At 34.6% G+C, this 21,117-nt stretch overlaps 1 long non-coding RNA gene across 1 annotated transcript; it reads right to left on the bottom strand.

Annotated features, from left to right (window-relative positions):
* Positions 1–1,023: 1,023 nt before the first annotated feature.
* LOC105370482 (uncharacterized) lies at positions 1,024–20,671 on the bottom strand. Its single transcript, XR_943835.3, has 3 exons — positions 20,530–20,671; positions 2,928–3,115; positions 1,024–1,723 (listed from the first exon to the last, which is right to left on the bottom strand). It is a non-coding gene; the product is annotated as an uncharacterized LOC105370482 (long non-coding RNA).
* Positions 20,672–21,117: the final 446 nt, after the last annotated feature.

Here is a 21,117-nt window from a genome sequence, read left to right on the forward strand (position 1 = left end):
GCTATTTTTGACATCTATGCTTTCACCAATTTAAGGAGAACAGGATTTACCACAGGATCAGCTTCCTAAATTGTGGGTCATCTGACTTATAAGAGATGACTATGGTAGACAAGATTGAGCAACAGTTGAGGGTGGGTAGTTTTTACTGGCTGAATAGTGCCACAACAAACTTCCTACCCTCAGTACCTCAGAATGTGACTATATGTAGAGATAGGTCTCTAAAGGTGTAATTAAGGTTAAACAAGGTCATATGAATAGGCCTTAATTTAATGACTAGTGAACTTAGAAGAAGAGGAAATTAGGACAAAAACATACAGAGGATTGACCAGGTGGAAACAAAGAGAAAAGAAGGCTATATATAAGCCAGGAGAGAGACCATGGAAGAAACCAACCCTACTTAGACCTTGAGCTCAGATTTCTAGCATTCAGAATTGTGAGAAAATAAATGTCTGTTGTTAAGGCCACCCAGTCTTTGGTACTTTGTTATGGCAGCCCTAGCACACTAATATAATAGCCTTTTAGAGCTAAATTGTATAATACAATTAGAACTATTCATTTTAAAGGAGTACTTCACAATTCAAATAAACTGCTGCTTTTATGCACAGTAAATCCACACTTGGCAAGCCCAGGTTTGAAATAGAAAATAAAGTCAGGTGTCTTTATACATGAAGTTTCCTAAGTGGGTTTCAATGTTTTCCTTCAGCCTGACATTGTAACTGCTTTTCCATTTACTGAGCATCACGGATGCTATACCTCACTAATAAAAGTCTTGGAGAAATGTCACTGTCCTTGTTGACACTGAGGACACATGAAATCTAAACTCTAATACTATTAAAGAACATTGTATCTCTTGGTTCACAAATCGTAAATCTGCATTCAATAAACATTGAGCCTATGCTGCCTACACAGCAGACGATCAATGAAGTACTACACAGATCTAATCATGTACTAAGAAAGAATTAGGCAAGAGTAATAGAAGTTGATTTTTGTAGTTCCTTAGATACGTATTGCATATAACAAAAATTTACCAAGATCTCATTTATTCTTTAGAGTCAAACAACAACAATAACAATGACACGAACAAAACATAGCCTTCTCTCAAGACTTTGAGAGATTATGATTAAAATTTAAGCCAAGTTGACAGACATGCTTTGTTGCCAACACCTTTTGTATCTATTGTGTAAATTATGTGGTATTGAGGATATTCTTAATTTTTAATCATCAGACATACAGTTTTCAGTACTATATACATTCTTGTTTATTTGTTTCTTTTTTTTTTTACTGTGGTAAGAAAACAATATGAGATGTATCCTCTTTAACAAATTTTTACATCCACAATACATCATTGTTAACTATAGGCACAAGGTTGTACAATAGATCGCTAGAACTTACTCATCTTGCATAATTAAAACTTTATACACATTCAACAATAACTCCTCATCTTCCCCTCTGCTCACCCACTAGCAACTACCATTCTCTTGTCAATTTTATAAATTTGACAATACTAGTTATCTCCTACGATTGGAATCAGGCAGTGTCTGTTCCTTCTGTGACTGGCTTATTTCATTTAGCATAATGTCCTCCATGTTCATTCATGATGCTGCATATTGTAAGGTTTCCTTCTTTTTTAAGACTGAACAATATTCTGCTGTATGTATATACCACATTTTCTTTATTCATTCACCTGTCGACAGACATTTAGGTTGTTTCCATATGTTGGCTGCTGTGAGTACAAGAATTACAAAAGATTAATACTAGTATTTGGTGATGGTCTCAATCAACTTTCAAAGAGTCAGAATTTTTTAAAAATATTAGCATTACAATATATTTACACAGCAAGGTATATGCTACTTAAGTTAAAGCTTCTTTATAGCCGGGTTTCCTGTGTTCAGAGCCTGACTCTGCCACTTACTAACTGGGCGAGGTATTAAATCCTTCTATGCCTCAAATGCTTATCTCTAAAATGTGACTAATAATAGTTCCGATGATAGGAGTGTTAGGAGAATTAGGTGAGATACGTATAAAACATTTAGAAAAGTGATTTATATAAGCACTTGCTTCTATAATATCTGTGAGTGACATTATTGCTTGTTCACAGATTCATTTCCTGCTCTGCATGACTGAAAAATACACCACTTTAAAAGTAAAAATATAAAACCTGATACCATAGAAATGTATTTCCTATCCATAAACTTTCATTATTTTATTTTTTTATTGAGACAGTGTCTCACCCTGTCACCTAGGCTGGAGTGCAGTAGTGCTATCATAGCTCACTGTAACCTCATACTCCTGGCCTCAAATGATCCTCCTGCCTCAGCCTCCCCAGTAGCTAGGACTACAGGTGAACACCACCATGTCCAGCTAATTATTTTTTTGTACTTGTTGTAGAGACAAGGTCTTGTTATGTTGCCCAGGCTGGTCTCAAACTCCTGGCCTTAAGCAATCTTCCTGCCTTGGCCTTCCAAAGTGTTGGGATTACAGGCATGAACCACTTTGCCCAGCAACCATCTATGAACTTTTAGATTCACATATCTTTGAAAAATATAAATTCTGTTAAAGGACATTGCTATTGAAACTTTAATAGGTAAGGGATTAAAAGCAGAATTAGATACAGATTGACCTGAATTCAAAGCCCAATTCTACGTCCTCCAGCAAGTTGCCAAGACTTCCTGAACTTACATTTATTATATATCTTAAAGATAAAATTTATGATGTTTATGTCATATATTGCTGGGAAATTGAACAAGTAAATGTTTACAAAGTCCTTCTCATGTTTGCAATATACTAAATCATCAGCACATTTTTGTTTGTTTTATGATTATTATTTTCTGGCTATTAGTGGTAGACTGAAAATGGCTCAAATCAATGATTTATTTTCATCTTTCTTGGTTTTCTGTGCTGCCTGAGCTCAGTGGGGCTTTCCTTACTTGGGGTTTCTTGTATGGTTGTAGTCATGAGACAGCCGAGCTGAAATTATTTGAGGACAGGGCTAGACATCCGAGGTGATTTCTTTTAGATTCACATCTTGTATCTCAACTGCAGTATCAGTTACAGCTTAGTAGTGGTCAGGCATCTGTTTCTTCATTTGACCTGTCCATCTAGCAGCTTGAACTTCCTGCAACCACAACACAACAGTCTCAGGATAGATGAACTTCTCAAATAGAGGCTGGCTTCCTACAGGTTAAGTAACCTAAGGCCCAGGAATAAGATATAAGGATACTTTAACCTCGTTATTAAAGCCACACAGCATCATGTTGACTGAGCTTTTTGTTATAAATGATTCATAAAATCATTAGAAATGAGTTTTCAATGGATAAAATTAACATCTGCTTATATTATCACATTATATATGTCTATATACACACACAGACATATATTATAGTAATGTGTTTATGGCCAATCCAGAAACATATATATTGAATCATGCTAGATGAAAAATAATCAATATATAAATATTGATAAATTATATAGTGAAATTATGAGTGCCTTATTTTTAATCCCTCTTTCCATTTATAGTTCTGCTATCATATTTTGGGTCAAATTATCTGTCCATTCATATCTCACTGGACTGCCATTCAAAACTCTCTTTCTACACTGTTTCCATTGCATACCTAGTGCTTCAGCTGTACTAGATTACTTGTAAATTCCTGAATACCCCTTATTGTCTTCGTCTCGGTAATAGACATCTCTGGTGTCTTGCTTCATATCCCTTTGCTCTCTTCTCATTTCACCTCGAAATAGCTACCATGGGCAGTTTTTGAAGGTTCATCTCACAAAACTGCCCATGGTATTGGCAAGGTATTGGCATGGTCAATAGATCAAGAATAAATGACTTATTCTTGATCATGAATGACTCATACTTGTGCATGGTGTTGGCAAGGTCAATAGATTAAGCATGAATGATTCATTCTTGATCATTTCAGCTTCATTCCAGGATCTTTCTAGTGCCATGAATACCATCTCAGACCATAAGCAAGCACAGCCAGGAAGGTTGGGTGGGGGCCGAGGGGGAAAGCTAGCCATCCCTGGAGCAATTCTCAGTCACTGGGGATAGAGGGTCAGGAGATAAACTCTTCTACTTTTCATCTTTCAGGTAAACAGCTCAGGGAGGCATTCTGTGCTTTTTAGAAGAAGGTCCTGCAAAGTCAAAGCCTTATTTCTCACATAAATTTTTTCACTACTGTGTCCTTTTATAATCTTATTTTTTCCAGTACCTAGCTTTTTCAGCCTGAATCAGGTCCAAATTATATACCTCCTCAAAATCTCTTATCTCAGTCTCTGTTTCTTGGAGATCCCAGTCTATGACTTGCTCTCTTACTTTCGGTGTCCTGTTCTCTCTGACTGAAACATGCATCCCTCTAATGCAATCTTTCCTCTAATCTGTTGATTTATCCTTAAGAATCTAGCTCCAAGTAAATTCCACTGAGGCCTTTCCTGATACCAAGGGTGTTTCATATTATCCTCTTTTGTGCTAACACAAAAACACATCCATTGTATGACTATGTTGTATAATATTATGTTTTTAAGTAGCAGTGTATTTTAGTAAACTATGAACTTTTGAGTGCAGTGACTATTATTATGCTTATGTTTGTAACTTAACATTTGATAGTTGACATATAATTAACCACTTAACAATGCCATTTGAACAAATGGTTGAATTGATTAAAAAAAAATAGCATTCTAAATTGTTTATTTTCATTCCAAATTGATGGGACTGTTAATAACCAAATTGCTTATAAGCTCGACATCCTCTGTCTTTTTTCTTGATATAGTCAATTATTGTCTCTTTATGACCTTTTAATTTTTAACTATATGATAGTATGAGCATAAAAATACATTAAAAATTACCTATGTTGGGTCGGGCATGGTGTGGTGGCTCATGCCTATAATCCCAGCACTTTGGGAGGTCGAGGTGAGTGGATCACCTGAGGTCAGGAGTTTGAGACCAGCCTGGCCAACATGGAGAAACCCCGACTCTACTAAAACTACAAAAAATTAGCTGGGCATGGTGACACATGTCTGTAATCCCAGCTACTTGGGAGGCTGAGGTAGGAGAATCACTTGAATCCAACAGGCAGAGATTGCAGTGAGCCGAGATCATGCCACTGCACTCCAGACTGGGCAACAAGAGTGAGACTCCATCTCAGAAAAAAAAAAATTACCTATGCTGTATTATTTTAAAGGAACGATGTGTCTATGTGGTGGATACAGCTTAAGATGACTCCTACTCTTTAAATGTGGGAAGAATCCATAAATAATTTCTAACCTCCTACCCACCCCCCAAAATGCAAAAGAGATTGTATGCCACTGCCTGAATTAGGTTATATTATTATATAAAGCAAAGCGATGGGATATAATGACCATGATTATACTACGTTAGGTAAGACTCCTCCTTCGAAGACTGGAATAGAGAGATTCTCCTGCTAGACTTTAAGAAGCTGCCATTTGTGAGCTGTGTATAGAGAAGACCACACGGCCAGGAACTGGGGCTAACTCTAGACTGTCAGAGTGACTGTAACTGATGCAAGACAGGCAGGCCCCTCAAATTGGGGCTTAGCCCGGGAGGGTTCCTCACTTTGCCCAGGAAAAGAATTCAAGGGCAAACTGTTGGTGTTAAATAGCAACTTTTGTTGAAGTGGCAGTGTACAGCAGCAATAGAGGTACTGCTCCTTGTGGAGCAGGGTTACCTCACAGGTAATGTGCCCAGAGGAGCAGCTTGGAGGAACATATATATATATATATTCCCTCTTTAATTATATGCAAGTTAGGGTGCGGTTTTATGCAGAAATTCGTAGGATGAGGGTGGTAACTTCTGGATTGTCAGGTTGCTGCCATGGAAAGGAGTAGTAACTTCTGGGTGTTTCCATGGCAATGGTAAACTGACATGGCCCACTGGTGGGCATGTCTTATGGGGAAGTGCTTTCCTAGACCTGTTTTAGCTAGTTTTCAATTTGATCAGGTGTCGGAGTCACACCTCTGAGTTGAGTCCCACCTCCTACCTCATAGCAAACAGCCAATAAGAATCAGAGTCTCTCCGTCATACTCTCACAAGGAAATATATTTTCCAATTATATGAATGAGCATGGAAATGAATTATTTCCCAGTGAAGCCATCAGGCAGAACACAGTTGAACTGATATCCTGATTGCAGCCTTGTCAGACTCTGAGCAGAAGACCATACTAACTTGTTCATGGACGCATGAATATGTTTAGATAATAAATGTATGTTGTTTTAGTTTGTTAAATAATTTATTATACAGCAAATGGAAACTAACAAAATATAATCTTACAAGTTGTAATTAAAGCATTACACTAGAAATTTATTACCTTAGCTGTATTTGTAACCCAAATATTGGTTTATTAATTCTCATTCTCATCCACTCTTTACTCCTTCCTCTGTAATGTCTTCTGGATATTTTAATTATTCTCTCTTTCTTCCACTAGATATGACAACATTTTCATTCCAGTGAGTTTAGTGAGATAAACATAAAAGTGAGAACAAGAAAGGTTGACGTGTAACTCAGAAAACAATTACATATCACCATATGTTGTTGAGAAACAACTGATAAAGGACTGGTGTGGTAGGCAGACAAAATGACTCCTGAAAGATGTCTAATATTCCAATCCCCAAAATCAATGGCTATTTTATCTTACATGGCAAAATGGACTTATGCAGGTGTGAGTAATTTAAGGATCATGAGATGGGAAGATTACTCTGGGTTATCTAGGTATATTTAATGTAATCACAAGGGTTCCTAAAAGCAGGAATAGAAAGCAAAGTGAGATTTGAAAATGTTCCCTGTCAGCTTTGAAAAGGAAGCATGGAGCCAAGAACCAAGGAATGCAGGTAGCTTCTAGAAGCTAGAAAAGGCAAGAAAACAGATTATCTCCAAGAGACTTCACAACAATGTAGCACTGTTGACTCATTTTAGACTTCTGATATCCAAAACTATAAGGCAATACATTTGTGTTGTTTTAGCCCACTAAGGTTGTGAAATATGTTTATAGCAGCAACAGGAAACAGGAAACCAGTTGCTGTAGGTTTAACAAACAGACTTTCCAAAAGAAATGTGATTATCATGGCAAACCTTTATATGAAGATGCTTTAATGCCTATTTGAAAAATACTCTTCTAATAAGTACAATCATGCATTGCATAACTACAAGGATACATTCTAAGAAACGTGTCACTAGGTGGTTCCATCATTGTGCAAGCATCATGGAGTGTACGTCCACAATCCTAGAAGGCATAGCCTACCACATGCCTAGGCCATATGGTATAGCCTATTGCTCCTATGCTATAAACCTACATAGCTTATTGCCATACTGAATCCTGTAGACAACTGTAACACAATGGTAAGTATTTGAGGGATCTAAAAATATCTAAATATAGAAAATGTATGTACAATTGTGGTATAAAAGGTAAAAAATGGTATACCTGTATAGGGCAGTTACCATAAATGGATGTTGCGGGACTCTAAGTTGTTCTGCGTGAGTCAGTGCATGAGGGTAAGTGAATGTGAAGGCCTAGAACATTACTGTACACTACTGTAGGCTTTATAAACACTGCACATGTAGACTACACTAAATTTACTTTAAAAAGTTATATTAATACAAATGCATCTCAGCTTACAGTAACAGTTTTAATTTATAAGTTTTTTAATTTTTTTACCTTTTGGACTCTATTTTAACACTTGGCTTCAAAACACAAATACATTGTACAGCTGTACAAAAATATTTTCTTTCTTCAAATCTTTATTCTATAAGCATTTTCTATTTTTAATTTTTTTCAACTTTTTAAACTTTTTTTGTGAAAAACTAAAACACAAACACACACATTAGCCTAGACCTATGCAGGATCAAGATCATCGATATCTTGTTTTCCACCTCCACATCTTGTCCCACTGGAAGGTCTTCGGGGTCAATAACTGTCATCTCCTATGATAATAATGCCTTCTTCTGGAATGCCTCTTGAAGGACCTGCTTGAGGCTGTTTTACAGTTAACTTTTAAAAAAATCTAGAAAGGTACACTCTAAAAAATTATTAAAAAGTATAGTAACTACATAAAACAGTAACATACTATTTTATTGTCATTATCATGTTATGTACTGTACATAATTTTGTGTGTTATATTCATATGACTAAAAGTACAGTATATTTATGTTTATTGAGTGCAGCATCACAAAAACACATTAAAAATGCATTGTACTACAATATTATGACGGCTACAATGTCACTAGGCAGTAGGAATTTTTCAGCTCCATTATAATCTTATGGGACCACCACTGTATATGTGATTTATTGTTTCAAACATTGGTATGGGATGCATGGCTGTATACGCACAAGTATAGCTTCTTTACTACCACAGGTGCTATTCTATTTTCTTTTTATAGTATTCTCCTTATGTAGACCTAAAAAATTATTCAAGCATTCTTCTGATATTTTTCCAAGGTTTCCCATTTATCTGCTGAAGGCTAACCTTTCCTTTGAGAGAAAAGTACAGTGAGAAAATCTGATCTGAAATAAACAAGCATAATTAAATCCCAATAGGCAAAAGGCACTCATAAAACCAGACAGTCTTTGGTGATGCCCTTAGTTTAGCTCTGTTTTCAGGACAACAGAACCTCTCCGACAACTCTGAGGAAAACCACTACCACACATGTTCCCTTTCATAGTGGCTTTCATAAAGGAAACATTCAGGGAATCTTTGCTAAGAAACAGCCAAAGAGAGATAGAGATTTCTAAATATTGTTCACTGATATGGACATCAAGGATACTTGATGCTTCTTTGGAGGTGAAAGAAGTGAGACTTGCTTGGTGTCTGAATGGGATAGTGCTGAAAGTTGATGTACTAGTCTTCCATTGCTCTTCACATCTAAAGATAACTGCCTCGCTTGATCCCAGTGGCCCATGAAACAGTAGGAAAGTGGGGTTGCCATCCCCTTTAACTGCTGCCATCAATTACAAAGGCAAAAGTTTAAATCTCTATTACTCTAATACCAAATTTCTTAATCTCCTAGATGTAATTTATATTTCCAAGAGAGATGAAAAGTGTGGAACTATGATGAATGAGCAAGAGAGTATATCTGTTTATATTAGTAAACTCCTTTAGTTGCTTATAAATAACCAAAAAATTATCTGGTGTTAATCATATGTAAGAAATCCTAAGTGGCCCAACAAAATTGACGCTAATCTAAACCACTGGCTATATATTTTTTTCTGCAATGAAATAGGAATTAATTGGCTAAGGTTGGCCTCTTCATACTTCCATTCCAACAATTAAGACTGTTATTCAGGTAGCTGTCATCACACAGCGATAATCATATTAGAGTTACATAGCCAAGGCTCTGTGGTTCGAAAACCAAAACATTCAAAAACTTGATTTATATGTGACCCAGATAACTAATTATCTTCGTTTTAAAATAAATTTTAAAGAGAACAATGCGTTAAGTAACTATCTAATGAGATCAATAATGAAACTGATGGGAGTAAAATAAGAGCTTGCCTGGATAATGGCTTATACAGTTTAGATGGCTCGCACATATAGAGATTCTTTAAAATAAGAACTTCATTTTTCAGAAATCTCTGGGTTGCTGGAATACCAATGTACATAGAATGACAACACATGTGTGCAATAGCAAGGAAAACAGAAATCCTGGTCACTGAGTTTCTGGCAATGGGTCCTTTCCTTCAGGGACCTTCTGAGGTAGTAAGACAATAAGCAATTCCCAGTATCCTGTAATTCTGGGATTTGGTAGACTTGTATTCATGTAACAGGGACATTACTAGGTCAAATTACAGGTCAAAACAGTTCAGTCTAATACTTTTTCCTCTTTAATTCTCATTTCCTCATCTGTAAAAATAGGAATGATCATAATGTCTATCTCATGAAGTTACTGTGAAATAAGATTAACTACGCAAAGAACCTGTGCCAACACACTGCCTCTGTATCTGTTAGATTTTATTCACATTATTATTATTATTATGTAACTGAAACTCAGATTGTACCATATAATACATCTTATTTCAACTTGTAGTTCTGATTGCCTTTGCCAGGCAGATGGCCAGTTCAGGCAAAACATCAGTATTGGGTCTGCCATCTCTGTCTGGCTGCTGAAATTGGCTTCAATCAGATGCTTTCATTAAAACAAAACCAAAAATAAACAACAACTTTCTTTATCTCAGGTTTATTCCTCTCCATGAAGTGTTCCTGAGATACAGATGAGAATTTCTGTCAGAGAATAGTATTCTCACAACATCAGTTGAATATAATTGTCAAAAAAAAGTTAAAGAAAGTGGACTTGGAGAGAATAACGCTTGTGATTTTTTTTTCCATTGTAGGTTGAGTTTTGTAACTTAGGAAAGTTATTTAACCTATCTCTCTCCAAACTTCTCAACTATAATATAAGAAGTTATGCCAAATGTTCTGAAAAGTTCTGTCGAGCTCTCTCAGTTTAGTCTAATTCTGTGCTTCTTTGGTTCCCATCCATTTCATGCTTGGCCAGGTGTCTTCCAGGATCGTGTGCACCAAGATCTTCCACTCATATTAATTAACAAAAAAACTCCTTGATCTAGTGAGGGACTTTTATGAATTTCTACTAAACAGCCTCCAAGAGATGAGACGTTGCCCTAATTCCTTTTCTGAATCTTTTCAGTATAGTTGAATCTACAGAACAGAACAATTTTTAAATAGTTGCACAGTAACTTGCCCATAGTAACAAGTCATACTTATTGTTTCCATTTGTTTACTGATAAAATGAATTATCTCTTGTATTAAAAGTATACATTTTTATACTGGGGACGTCTGGACTTCAGAGTCCTGAATACAATATGCCCTGGCCATGCGCAGTGGCTGTACTCCCAGTAATTTGGGAGGCCAAGGCGGGTGGATCACCTGAGGTTAGGAGTTTGAGACCAGCCAGGCCAACATGGTGAAACCCCATCTCTACTAAAAATACAAAATTAGCTGGGTGTGGTGGCACATGTCTGTAATCCCAGCTACTTGGGAGGCTGAGGCAGGAGAACCCCTTGACTCTGGGAGGCGGAAGTTGCAGTGAGCCAAGATCACGCCTTTGCACTTCAGCCTGGGAGTGAAACTCCATCTCAAAAAAAAAAAAAAAAAAAAAAAAGCCCTAATTTATAGACTTCAAATTAAATTTTCTTGAAAATGCACATATACATGCACACGTGTATACACACACACACACACCAGTTGTTATACTTAGTGAACAGGCAGGCCTCAGCTGCTTTGTGCTTACTAAGGGCTTTAAGAGAAATGATTAAGACAATTATGCCTAATTTATTCTACAAGATCAGTTATTACATTTTTAATGACTCAATCTCTATCCCTCTTCTGTCCTCTCCCCACCACTCCCCTCCTCTCATCTCCTTTCCTCTTCTCAAATGTTCTTTGTATAAATTTCAGTATTTTCTGTTTCTCTTGTTAATGAACAATTTAAATACAGTATTTGAAACATGTCCATTTTACATGTACTTGTAGTCATGTTTTTGGACCTCTTGAAAATTAAAGTTTAAAATTTTGGTAGGCCAACCACTGACATATGCTAGTGGACCTACCTGATGGAGCCACATAAACTACGTGACTGGAGGTGTGTATACATGTAAAGGGTTATTTAAGCTTGGACACAAGCCGCATAGAACTGCAGACTTGTGTCTCAAGGCTTTTGCTTTTTGTTTTTTTGTTCTTCAGCTGATGATTATGTTTTTGTTTCTGCTTCATGCAGGCTAGTTATTTTCCAATGGTGGAAAACGTGAATGGAAAGTGAATATTATGGCTTACCATTTGATGATGATCTGTATCAGGTGAATAATGGAAATCAAGTCTTTATCACATGAAGGATCTGATCTGCATTTATTTTTCTTTGTGTATGTGTTTCTTTATCTATTAGTATGTTCAAATGAATTGAGAATTTTGCTTCCTCTTAAGGAGACCAGTTCTGTGAATTGTTGACTAGGCTTATCTTTTATCTATGGCTAATGTTGCAGCTCTGAAGATGTAAGCTCTCTCCGTGTCTCTGTATCTGTCATTGAGGAAAGACATTACCTTTCTTTAAATGAGTATAAAGTATTTTGCTATTTCTGGAGTGCATTCATAAATTTGATTGTTACCTCTCTTCTATTAAATGAGTGCTGTTCAGATTGATTTTTACAGAATATTTCCAAAATTCACAGTAGTTAAGAAAATATAATTTGTAATATAATGAAGTGCTTGGCTAAAATGAAATCCTTCTTACTAAAACTGCTTTCTCAGAAACAGTTAATGAACCCAGATTCACTTAATTGAAATGGATCAGAATGGTTTAATAATCTTGGTTTTAAAAAGTTTTTAAAAATCAGCTTTATGTCTTTTCCTTGCTATCACTGTTAAAGATAGCATGAGTCTATTTTATTTTTATAAGATTTAAGATAGCTTTATTATAAAGTGTCCTAATTAGACTGAACTTCCTAAATATCTTATATAGGTTTACTAATAAAGTAAGCTGTTATTACTCATCTACATAATATTCAAGACTTGAAAAGTTATACATAGCATTCAACAAAATTGAATAAAAATTCTGAGAAACATGTTTTATTGCAGAAATTATATTTGTAGTGTATTAGCACAACCATTATTGTTCAGATTTTAGGTAACTCCCCAAATTGAGTAAATATTAAATAAAGTTATGGTCTTTGGATATCTATAAAATTTCCCAGTAATACTGAATATCAAAACAATTTCTAATTTGTACATTTTTCTTATTTTTATATGTTTTTACACGACTATAGGTCTGAGGCATATTAGCGAAGATACCCATTTCCCACTTTGAAAAAATAAAATATATATAGAAGTAAAAAATGTATTATATGTATTCATGAATTTCGATAGTCTGCTAAGATGGTTGCATATGACAGACTTTTCTCAATGAAACACTAACAATAATTTTCTTACATTGACATTTTTGATATCATTGTTTTGGTTAAATGCTATAATTCATATGATATTGAGATAATACTGGGAAAAACGGTGATGGAAGAGCATGAATATGTAGACAAAATAATAAAATCTGTATTTTTGTAAATCAAAATGTAAAGAAAGTAGTCTTACAGTATCTTTTCAGTAATATGAAAGAGGATAATGAAAAGCCAGATGTGAATGGGTGAGAAAGCTCACCATATATGCAGAATGGGGATTTTTACTTGCTTTGGTTTATAGTGTTTACAAATACTAGATCTGTAAAGACACAAAGTGTTGTGTAAATATTTTTGCCAAAGTTGGCTCAGTTTAATGTGCTTATATTTAAAATGTTACGAAGCACTAACTGCCAAATATTAATGCCAAACTGGAATTTGGCTTTCTTACTGTTAATAAACAATAACATTTTACCTTCTGTGCAATCTGCCCAGATAGCAAAAAAATCCATGATCCACAAAAATAATTTTATCTTTATTGAGATGACTTTATCATGTCCTTCATTATTAAAAATAGAACAAAGTTTTCTCACATATGGAAGAGGTAAGCTTGCTTAAAATTACAATGCCCATGCATCCAAGATCCTACCTTAATCTAGTGGCCAAATATCTTGGGATGTATCTTTTGATTGTGCTGTCCCCAGATCAGGCTTTCCATTCAGAACAAATGGAAATTATAATGAATATTTTTACACTTAAAGGTATGTTTTATGTTTTCCCAAAGGCCTGGAATAGCATACAGATCTGCTCTTTCACTTTATAAAAAGAAACACTAGAGGCTGGGCACAGTGGCTCATGCCTGTAATCCCAGCACTTTGGGAGGCCAAGGTGGGCAGATCAAGAGGTCAGGAATTCGAGACCAGCCTGGCCAACATGGTAAAACCCTGTCTCTACTAAAAATAAAAGAGCCGGGCATGGTGGCGCTCACCTGTAGTCCCAGCTACTCAGGTGGCTGTAGCAGAAGAATCACTTTTATCTGGGAGGCGGAGGTTGCAGTGAGCCGAGATCGTGCCACCGCCCTCCAGCCAGGGTGACAGAGTGACACTCTGTTTCAAAAAAAAAAAAAAAAAAAGAAAGAAAAAGAAAAAAGAAAAAAAGAAACACTAGAAATAATTAATTTGTTTGGTTTGCTCCCTATTTTAAAATTTGCCCAATACAATTGTGAGACTTCCTTAGGAATTGTGAAATCTGAAGGGATGCTTACGCTACCCTAGGTAAAGTTTGTCGAGCTAAAATATTAATATAAATATATTAGGAATTGTACACTTTATTAGTACCTGAAAGATTCCATACTTCCTATCCCTCATGAGAAACAATGATCAAATTCTAGGAAATACCTATATACAGTATCCCATAAAAAATTTTAATCTTTTCCCTTCTGATATTTGGTGACTGTAATAAATTGACCACAGTCATTTAGTATCACTATCAAACAGATTTTTACTTCCCTCTAATGACTGCCCGAGGCTCTGCTACAAGTTTCAGGCTAGAACTTGTGTATTCACCAATAAAAGGACAATCACAGTGCATTGTGGATAGGACTGTAGCAGGTACTTTGAACTATTGATAATTAAGAATTAGTCTGTTGAATACAGGCTTCTAAAATAGCATTGCTTAGGCAACTTTCAAACTGGACCAGTTGACAGAATCATTATAAACAGAAATTTTATTAGTCCGGAAGTGAAGGTACTCCACAAAAGCAGGCTGCTGAAACACGATCCAGCAAAACAAGAATGTATCTAGTGTAGACATAAAGGGAACTCGTAACAGAACTCAAGGGTATAGTGTTTGAAAATATAGAAAAATAAGAAGTGAGATATATACATTTAAATTATGCACAGTAATAAATGTTTTGGTATTTAATATTACTGGGAATTTAATAGATATCCAAAGACTATTCATATATTAACTTCATTTAATATTTACTTAATTTTTTGAGTTACTAAAATCTTAATGTTCGTGCTAATACACTACAAATATAATTCCTGCATAAAAATGTGTCTCAGAATTTTATTCAATTTTGTTTAACACTATGTATACCTTTTCAAATCTTAAATACTATGTAAATGAGTAATAAAAGCTTATTTTTTTTACTGAACTTATATAAGACATTTAGGAAGTTTGTACTAAGTAAAACACTTTGTGATAAAATAAGTTCAAACCTTATAAAAATAAAATGTACTCTTATGCTATACTTTCTGTTAAACTCAGGACTAAACAATGAGTGGAATTTAATTGTGGTTACTTTTTTGAATATTGTTAATAATGTTTTTAATGTTATATTTTTATGAATACATAAAGAAGTTGCTATTGCTAACCCTGCATTTATTAGACAATGTTTTTTAAAGCTGAAATAGAACATTTTTAATGGTATCTGCTTGTCATTGACTCCTTCACCCCTTCATCCTCATCCTTATCCTGAATTCAGAAACAAATCTTTTTCTGAGCCTCCTTCCATTTTAGGGCAATAGAGTTATTTGCATCTTTCAATAAATCTCTTCCTATTTACCAGTATATAACGGTACAAATTGATTTAGTAACAAAGTCCAAACTGAAGTGCCACATTTGATAATGATTCTCATTTAATTAGGCATGACAAGTCCACTATTAAAAAATAAAGGTTGACTTTATGTGTGGAGCTGGTGCTTTCAGCCTGTATTCACCAAGGATTTTCTGAAATGCTTTGTCATGTGGCAGATGGAAATGTCACTATGTTGGCACAAACTGCTCTGACTCGACACCTGGTTTGCAGGGTCCTATTTTCACACATGGTAAAAGTGGTTATTTCCTGGCAGGTAAGGGACATTTGCACATTTGGAGGAACTCAAGAAAAGAGGAATTTACCCAATTTATGAGTAGTGCAGGTGAAATCTGGCAGGGAAGATTTCTTAAGATTAGTTTCCTAGCTTCAGGATAGAAGAGTAAATTAAGAGAGGCTTTTCCAAGTCCTGTCTGTCATCCAGTATCAAAATTTCCAGACAAATTACTTCTCTGACATTTGAACTTGTTCAATATGGAATGGCTCCAGATTTGTAGAGCAAACCCAAGAAACCCTATATGGTTAATTAGTGCTCTTGTGACACTTACGTAAATAATCAAGTCAAATCTTTTTGTGGTTAATAATAATTTTCAGAGATTACTTACGATCACAAAGTGAGAAATAGTCCAAAAATTATCTGAAACTTAGATAATGCAAAAAGATCTTTTTCAGCTTTATATATTGAAAGGCAAATCTAGAAGTCTAGAAAATTGTCTAGAAAAATGACACAGTATTATTAATTATTTACTATTAATTTAAAGTCTCATATTTAGTAATGCTACCTGCTAAATTACAGACTTTCTCCAGTAATGACTCAGTATTAATTCCTGTCAGTTGAAACAGATAATGCCAATGTTTATAGTTTTTATGGCTTAATTGGACTTTTACCAATTGTGTATTTAATAAAGCAGTCATATTCTAAGTTTTTATTTATCCATAAAATTGCATATCTCATACTCTCCTTATTTAATTAGTTAAATTAAATTGTGACAGAGTCCCACTTGTTTGAGAGACATGTTTTAATATTTTAAAAAATATAGTTATATTATAGAACTAGAAAAGAAGAAGAAAGACTTATCAAAAAGTTCTAAATCATGCCAATTCCTACCACTATCAAGTAGCGGAATGTGATTTTAGATTTATCCAGCTTTATGTCTCAGCAAGATATATATAATGAATCAAGGCAAAAATAAATACTTGTAGAAATTGTCTTGTTTAAACATTTTGGGAAGAATAATTATGGTGAAAATAATTTTTCTAATAGATTATTTAATTTATATTGTATAAATTGACACATTTCCAAGTTATTTATATTTAAACTTTTCTCCTTTGTACTTGAAGATAATATATTTGTTCTCTAGATTTGTTATCTTCTTGAAATATTTGGGAAAATATTTGAAACCTGAAAATTGTCATACAAATGTTAGTTATTATTTATTTTATCTTACCAAGTTGATAACTAAAGGTTTTTTCATAATGGTAGGCTCCGTTCAGTTTTCTATTACATGTTGGTATAATAGTGTTATAGACACTCAGAATTCAGCTACTATAAATGCCTTAACTAATGTCAGCTGTATTTCCAGATACCCTGGAAAGAAGTTTTCAACTAATCCTCAAAGACTTTTATTTTTAAAATGAAATGACTTATTCTATATTTAGTCCTTGAGCTTTTTGAAAAATTGCCATAAAAAATCAATCATTTCCTCTTTTACCAATTTCATCTTTTGTCCTTGTCACTTTTTAACTTGCATCATAAATTTTGACTGTGTCTACAATGATATTATTTCAATGCCAGATATATGCAAATGAGGAGAGTCATTTTCATTTTAACAATAAAATATGCATATTCATATCGAGATTGGGCAATGGCAAAACATTATTAGTTCAATACACTCAATTTGTTCACTAACTTCATAATTCCAACATCACTTTCTTTTAAGAAACTAAAATTAAAGGATATTTTTTAAAATCACAAAAACAGCCTAATTTTTCATGCTTTCTTTAGCATAATCTCCCTTTTGAGCTAATTTTTCTTTTATGGAGATGAGTCCCTTGAATGTCATAATTCCAGTATATTTCTTTACTATGCTTTGTGAGAAAAAAAGACTTTTTATTTATTTCTGCCCAGTTGTCAAAATTTCAAACTGAGTTTTCTATCAAATAATAATAGAAAGAAACAGGGTAGAACTTCTTTTTAGTAATGTTGACAATGGCTTGCCCTGCAAAATATGATAAATTAAACCTATAAGGATATTATTACATTAATTTAACCTTAAAGTAATGGATTAGAATAAAATATATGTTATTGAAAGTCTGGGGATTTTTTTTCAAAATTTGTTCTAACAAAGTTGTATTTTTTATTGATTAGATGCAAGTTCATGATTACAGGAAGCCAGGAAGCCATTATAGGACAAAAGATGATACTTCCTTTATGTTTTACAAGGGCATTGATTTACTGTCTAAATGAGTGTTACACTCATTTTCTCAGGACAATTAAACAAGTTACTATAAGTGTTATTTTCATAACAACAGAGTATCTCAGCACCATATTTTAATAAAATGTAGTATTTGAACTAATCTGTTGGTGATCAGAGAAGACAGGAAACCGGCTGATACATATGAATGCTCTAACTTAAGGGGTTGGCAACCTTTAACACTTGTGCCAGATGGTGACACACAAGGACATTTGGACTGGCAATCAGCCTCTGGCATTAGCTCAACCTCCTCTGTCTTTACCACTCTTTGGAGTTATTGCTACGACTCCTGGCCACTGACATAGTCACGATCGGTATCAATCTTGGATCTCAGAAAGTTATCATGGCTTCTAGGTCACTTTATCCCATCTGTTCTAAACTGTAATAGCAAATAAGACAGTAAAAAATGTTATCCTGAGGAGAGTGGTTTTTAAAAATGTTTTTATTCTACCATAAATTCTCATAATATCTCAGGCATAAAAACGTCAATGTTTCATTGAGCAATATCCTTATCAAGTGATCAGTCTGCCAAAGTGTGACAACCACAGTGATGGGAAGTTCCCTACATTCTGTGACAGTACAGTCTATCTCTTCATAGCTGAAGGTGAGAGAGAGTAAAAGTGTCAAAGGTGGGCTTTAGAACTCCACAAGGCCTGGCTGTGGTGATGTGGATGAAAACTTTCACAGGTCTGAAAACTTTTATGAATCTACTCATTGTAAAAATAAAATAGAATAAAAAGGATAATTATTTCTGCATGATTTCAGGATGATTTATGATGTTATTTTTATCCATTAGCCTGCAAAAATGAGCAAAGGAGATAATGGTAGAATTAAAAACTCGCTATGCACACTTTAGTATCTGGCATGCAACATTTGTGTCTTTCCATTATCACGTTCTCCATGCTAATCCAAACCTTCATATATTTATGTGTGTGTGTGTGTGTGCGCGCGCAATTACAATAACTTCTCTATTTGTCACCCACTTCCTCTTTCCATTGTTAAACAAACAAAATTTCTCTTAACCAAGTTCTGAATGATGAGATTGACAAGTCATTAATTTCACACAGGGGAACCATACTTAAAAAAATAAAAGGGAATCTCCTGAGAAGAGAGAGCTAATGAAGCCAATGGTTCTCATACCTCTAGTTATTACAAGGCAGTCAACAGTTATAACAACACAGTTTTGGTCACTTCTTTTATTTCAGAGTAAAAGATTCCACATTCAATCGTAAAATACAGGAGCATTGTAATTTTATGCTGGTTTCAAGAAGCAACGCTCTAAGAATGCTTCTTAAAGGCTCATGATCCCTGTTATTTGTGTTTTATATCTCTTTATATTTTAAGGGTGGTTTTTAGAAAATCCTGTTACTCTTAGTTTATATTGAAATTTAGGCATTTTATAAATACAAAACATTTTTTAGAAATATAACAATCTTATAGTTTGAGAAAGTAATGTTATGTTCAACCTAGTGAAGAACTAGACTAAACAGAAAACATCGTATTTTTTTCCTTTTTACTTTCTGATCCATTTTGTATCCAAAAGCTGGAACAATATTTGTAGAATGTAAGCATAGTTATTATTCTCATTAAAAGACAGCAATGATGTTGTTGTGCATTGGACATATGTTCCTTAACATGCTATAGAGTGGATTATATAAAACTGGTCCTTACATTTCCAAATCTTAACTCATAGTGCAAATTGAAATCTAGACTAAGGACACATAGCCTGAAAAGGTGAAAAATAAAGGCTGGCTCAGAAACATAAATCTAGTATCAAAGGCTTTTTTTTCCCAGGAAGACAGATAACTTTATTGTTCATTGTAAAATCTTCCACAGCTGAAAAATAGGTTATTCAACTTGCTCTCATCAGAGTAAAAGGTCCTTTTATCAGAATGATAGGTTACTCAACTGTGTTCATTAAACTATTTATTCTTTAATATTCATTTCAAACCCTCAATTCTGTTTCTACTAACCCCAATACTGTATATTATGCAAGAAACTTTGCCAGTGATAATTAATCCTCCCACATGGAAAGTTCTGCCTTAAATTAGAATCCAACAATCTCAAAAATATTTTGCTCTTAACCTCCCCTTTCAGAGGTGCTACTAAGAATCCATCAAGGTAGTTGACTATCTTGTTTAAGTAATTAATTGGCAAGGCTTGGGTTAGTCAACAGGTTATTTTAGTAATCATGTATAAGGTTGCTATTTAAGCTCCAGATATAATATCCTTCTTCATTTCTGGTCTCTCTCTCTCTGTCTCTCCTATATGTCTGAATTACTCCCTTTCTTCAGCATTTTAGGGATAGCCATTCAAGTCTCTAGGAAGTTCCAAACTTTCCTGTTTTCCTTTCTTCCTCTGAACCCTCCAAACTGTTCCAACCTCACCTGTTACCCAGTATCAAAGTCACTTCCAAATTTTTGGGTATCCTTATAGCAGCACCCCACTCTCTGAGAACCAATTTACTGTATTAGTTCATTCTTACACTGCTATAAAGAACTGTCCGAGACTGGGTTATTCATAAAGAAAAGAGATTTAATTGACTCACAGTTCTGCAGGGTTGGGAAGGTCTCAGTAAACTAAAAATCATGGTGGAAGGGGAAGCAAACACGTCCTTCTTCATATGGCAGCACAATGGAGAAGTGTCAAGCAAAGCGGGGAAATGTCCGTTATAAACTGTCAAATCTCATGAGAACTCACTCACTATCATGAGAACAGCATGGGGAAACCACCCCCATAATCAACTGCCTTCCACCAGGTCCCTTCCACGACATGTGGGGATTATGGGAACTACAATTCAAGATGAGATTTGGGTGGAGACACAGCCAAACCATATCAGTAACTATAAGATGAAAAATGACTTCATCTGTTTATCTGCTTGTATTTATAATTTGTACTATGTGAATTCTTTCCCCTTGTGACTTTTAAACAATTTGGTTTTAAATATGCAGGTTAAATACTGATAGAGAAATTTAAAGTATTTGTAAGCTTAAAATCCAGTACAATAATAAATATAACTAAATATTCACCAATTGCCCACAAAAGTGTAGTGACCTATGTTATTAAATGAACTGCCAGATAGTGAAACACATGTTATATTATAGGCAACAACTTGTAAAGGAAGAAATTAAATTAA

Source organism: Homo sapiens, chromosome 14, assembly GCF_000001405.40.
Source record: "Homo sapiens chromosome 14, GRCh38.p14 Primary Assembly".
NCBI lineage: Eukaryota > Metazoa > Chordata > Mammalia > Primates > Hominidae > Homo > Homo sapiens.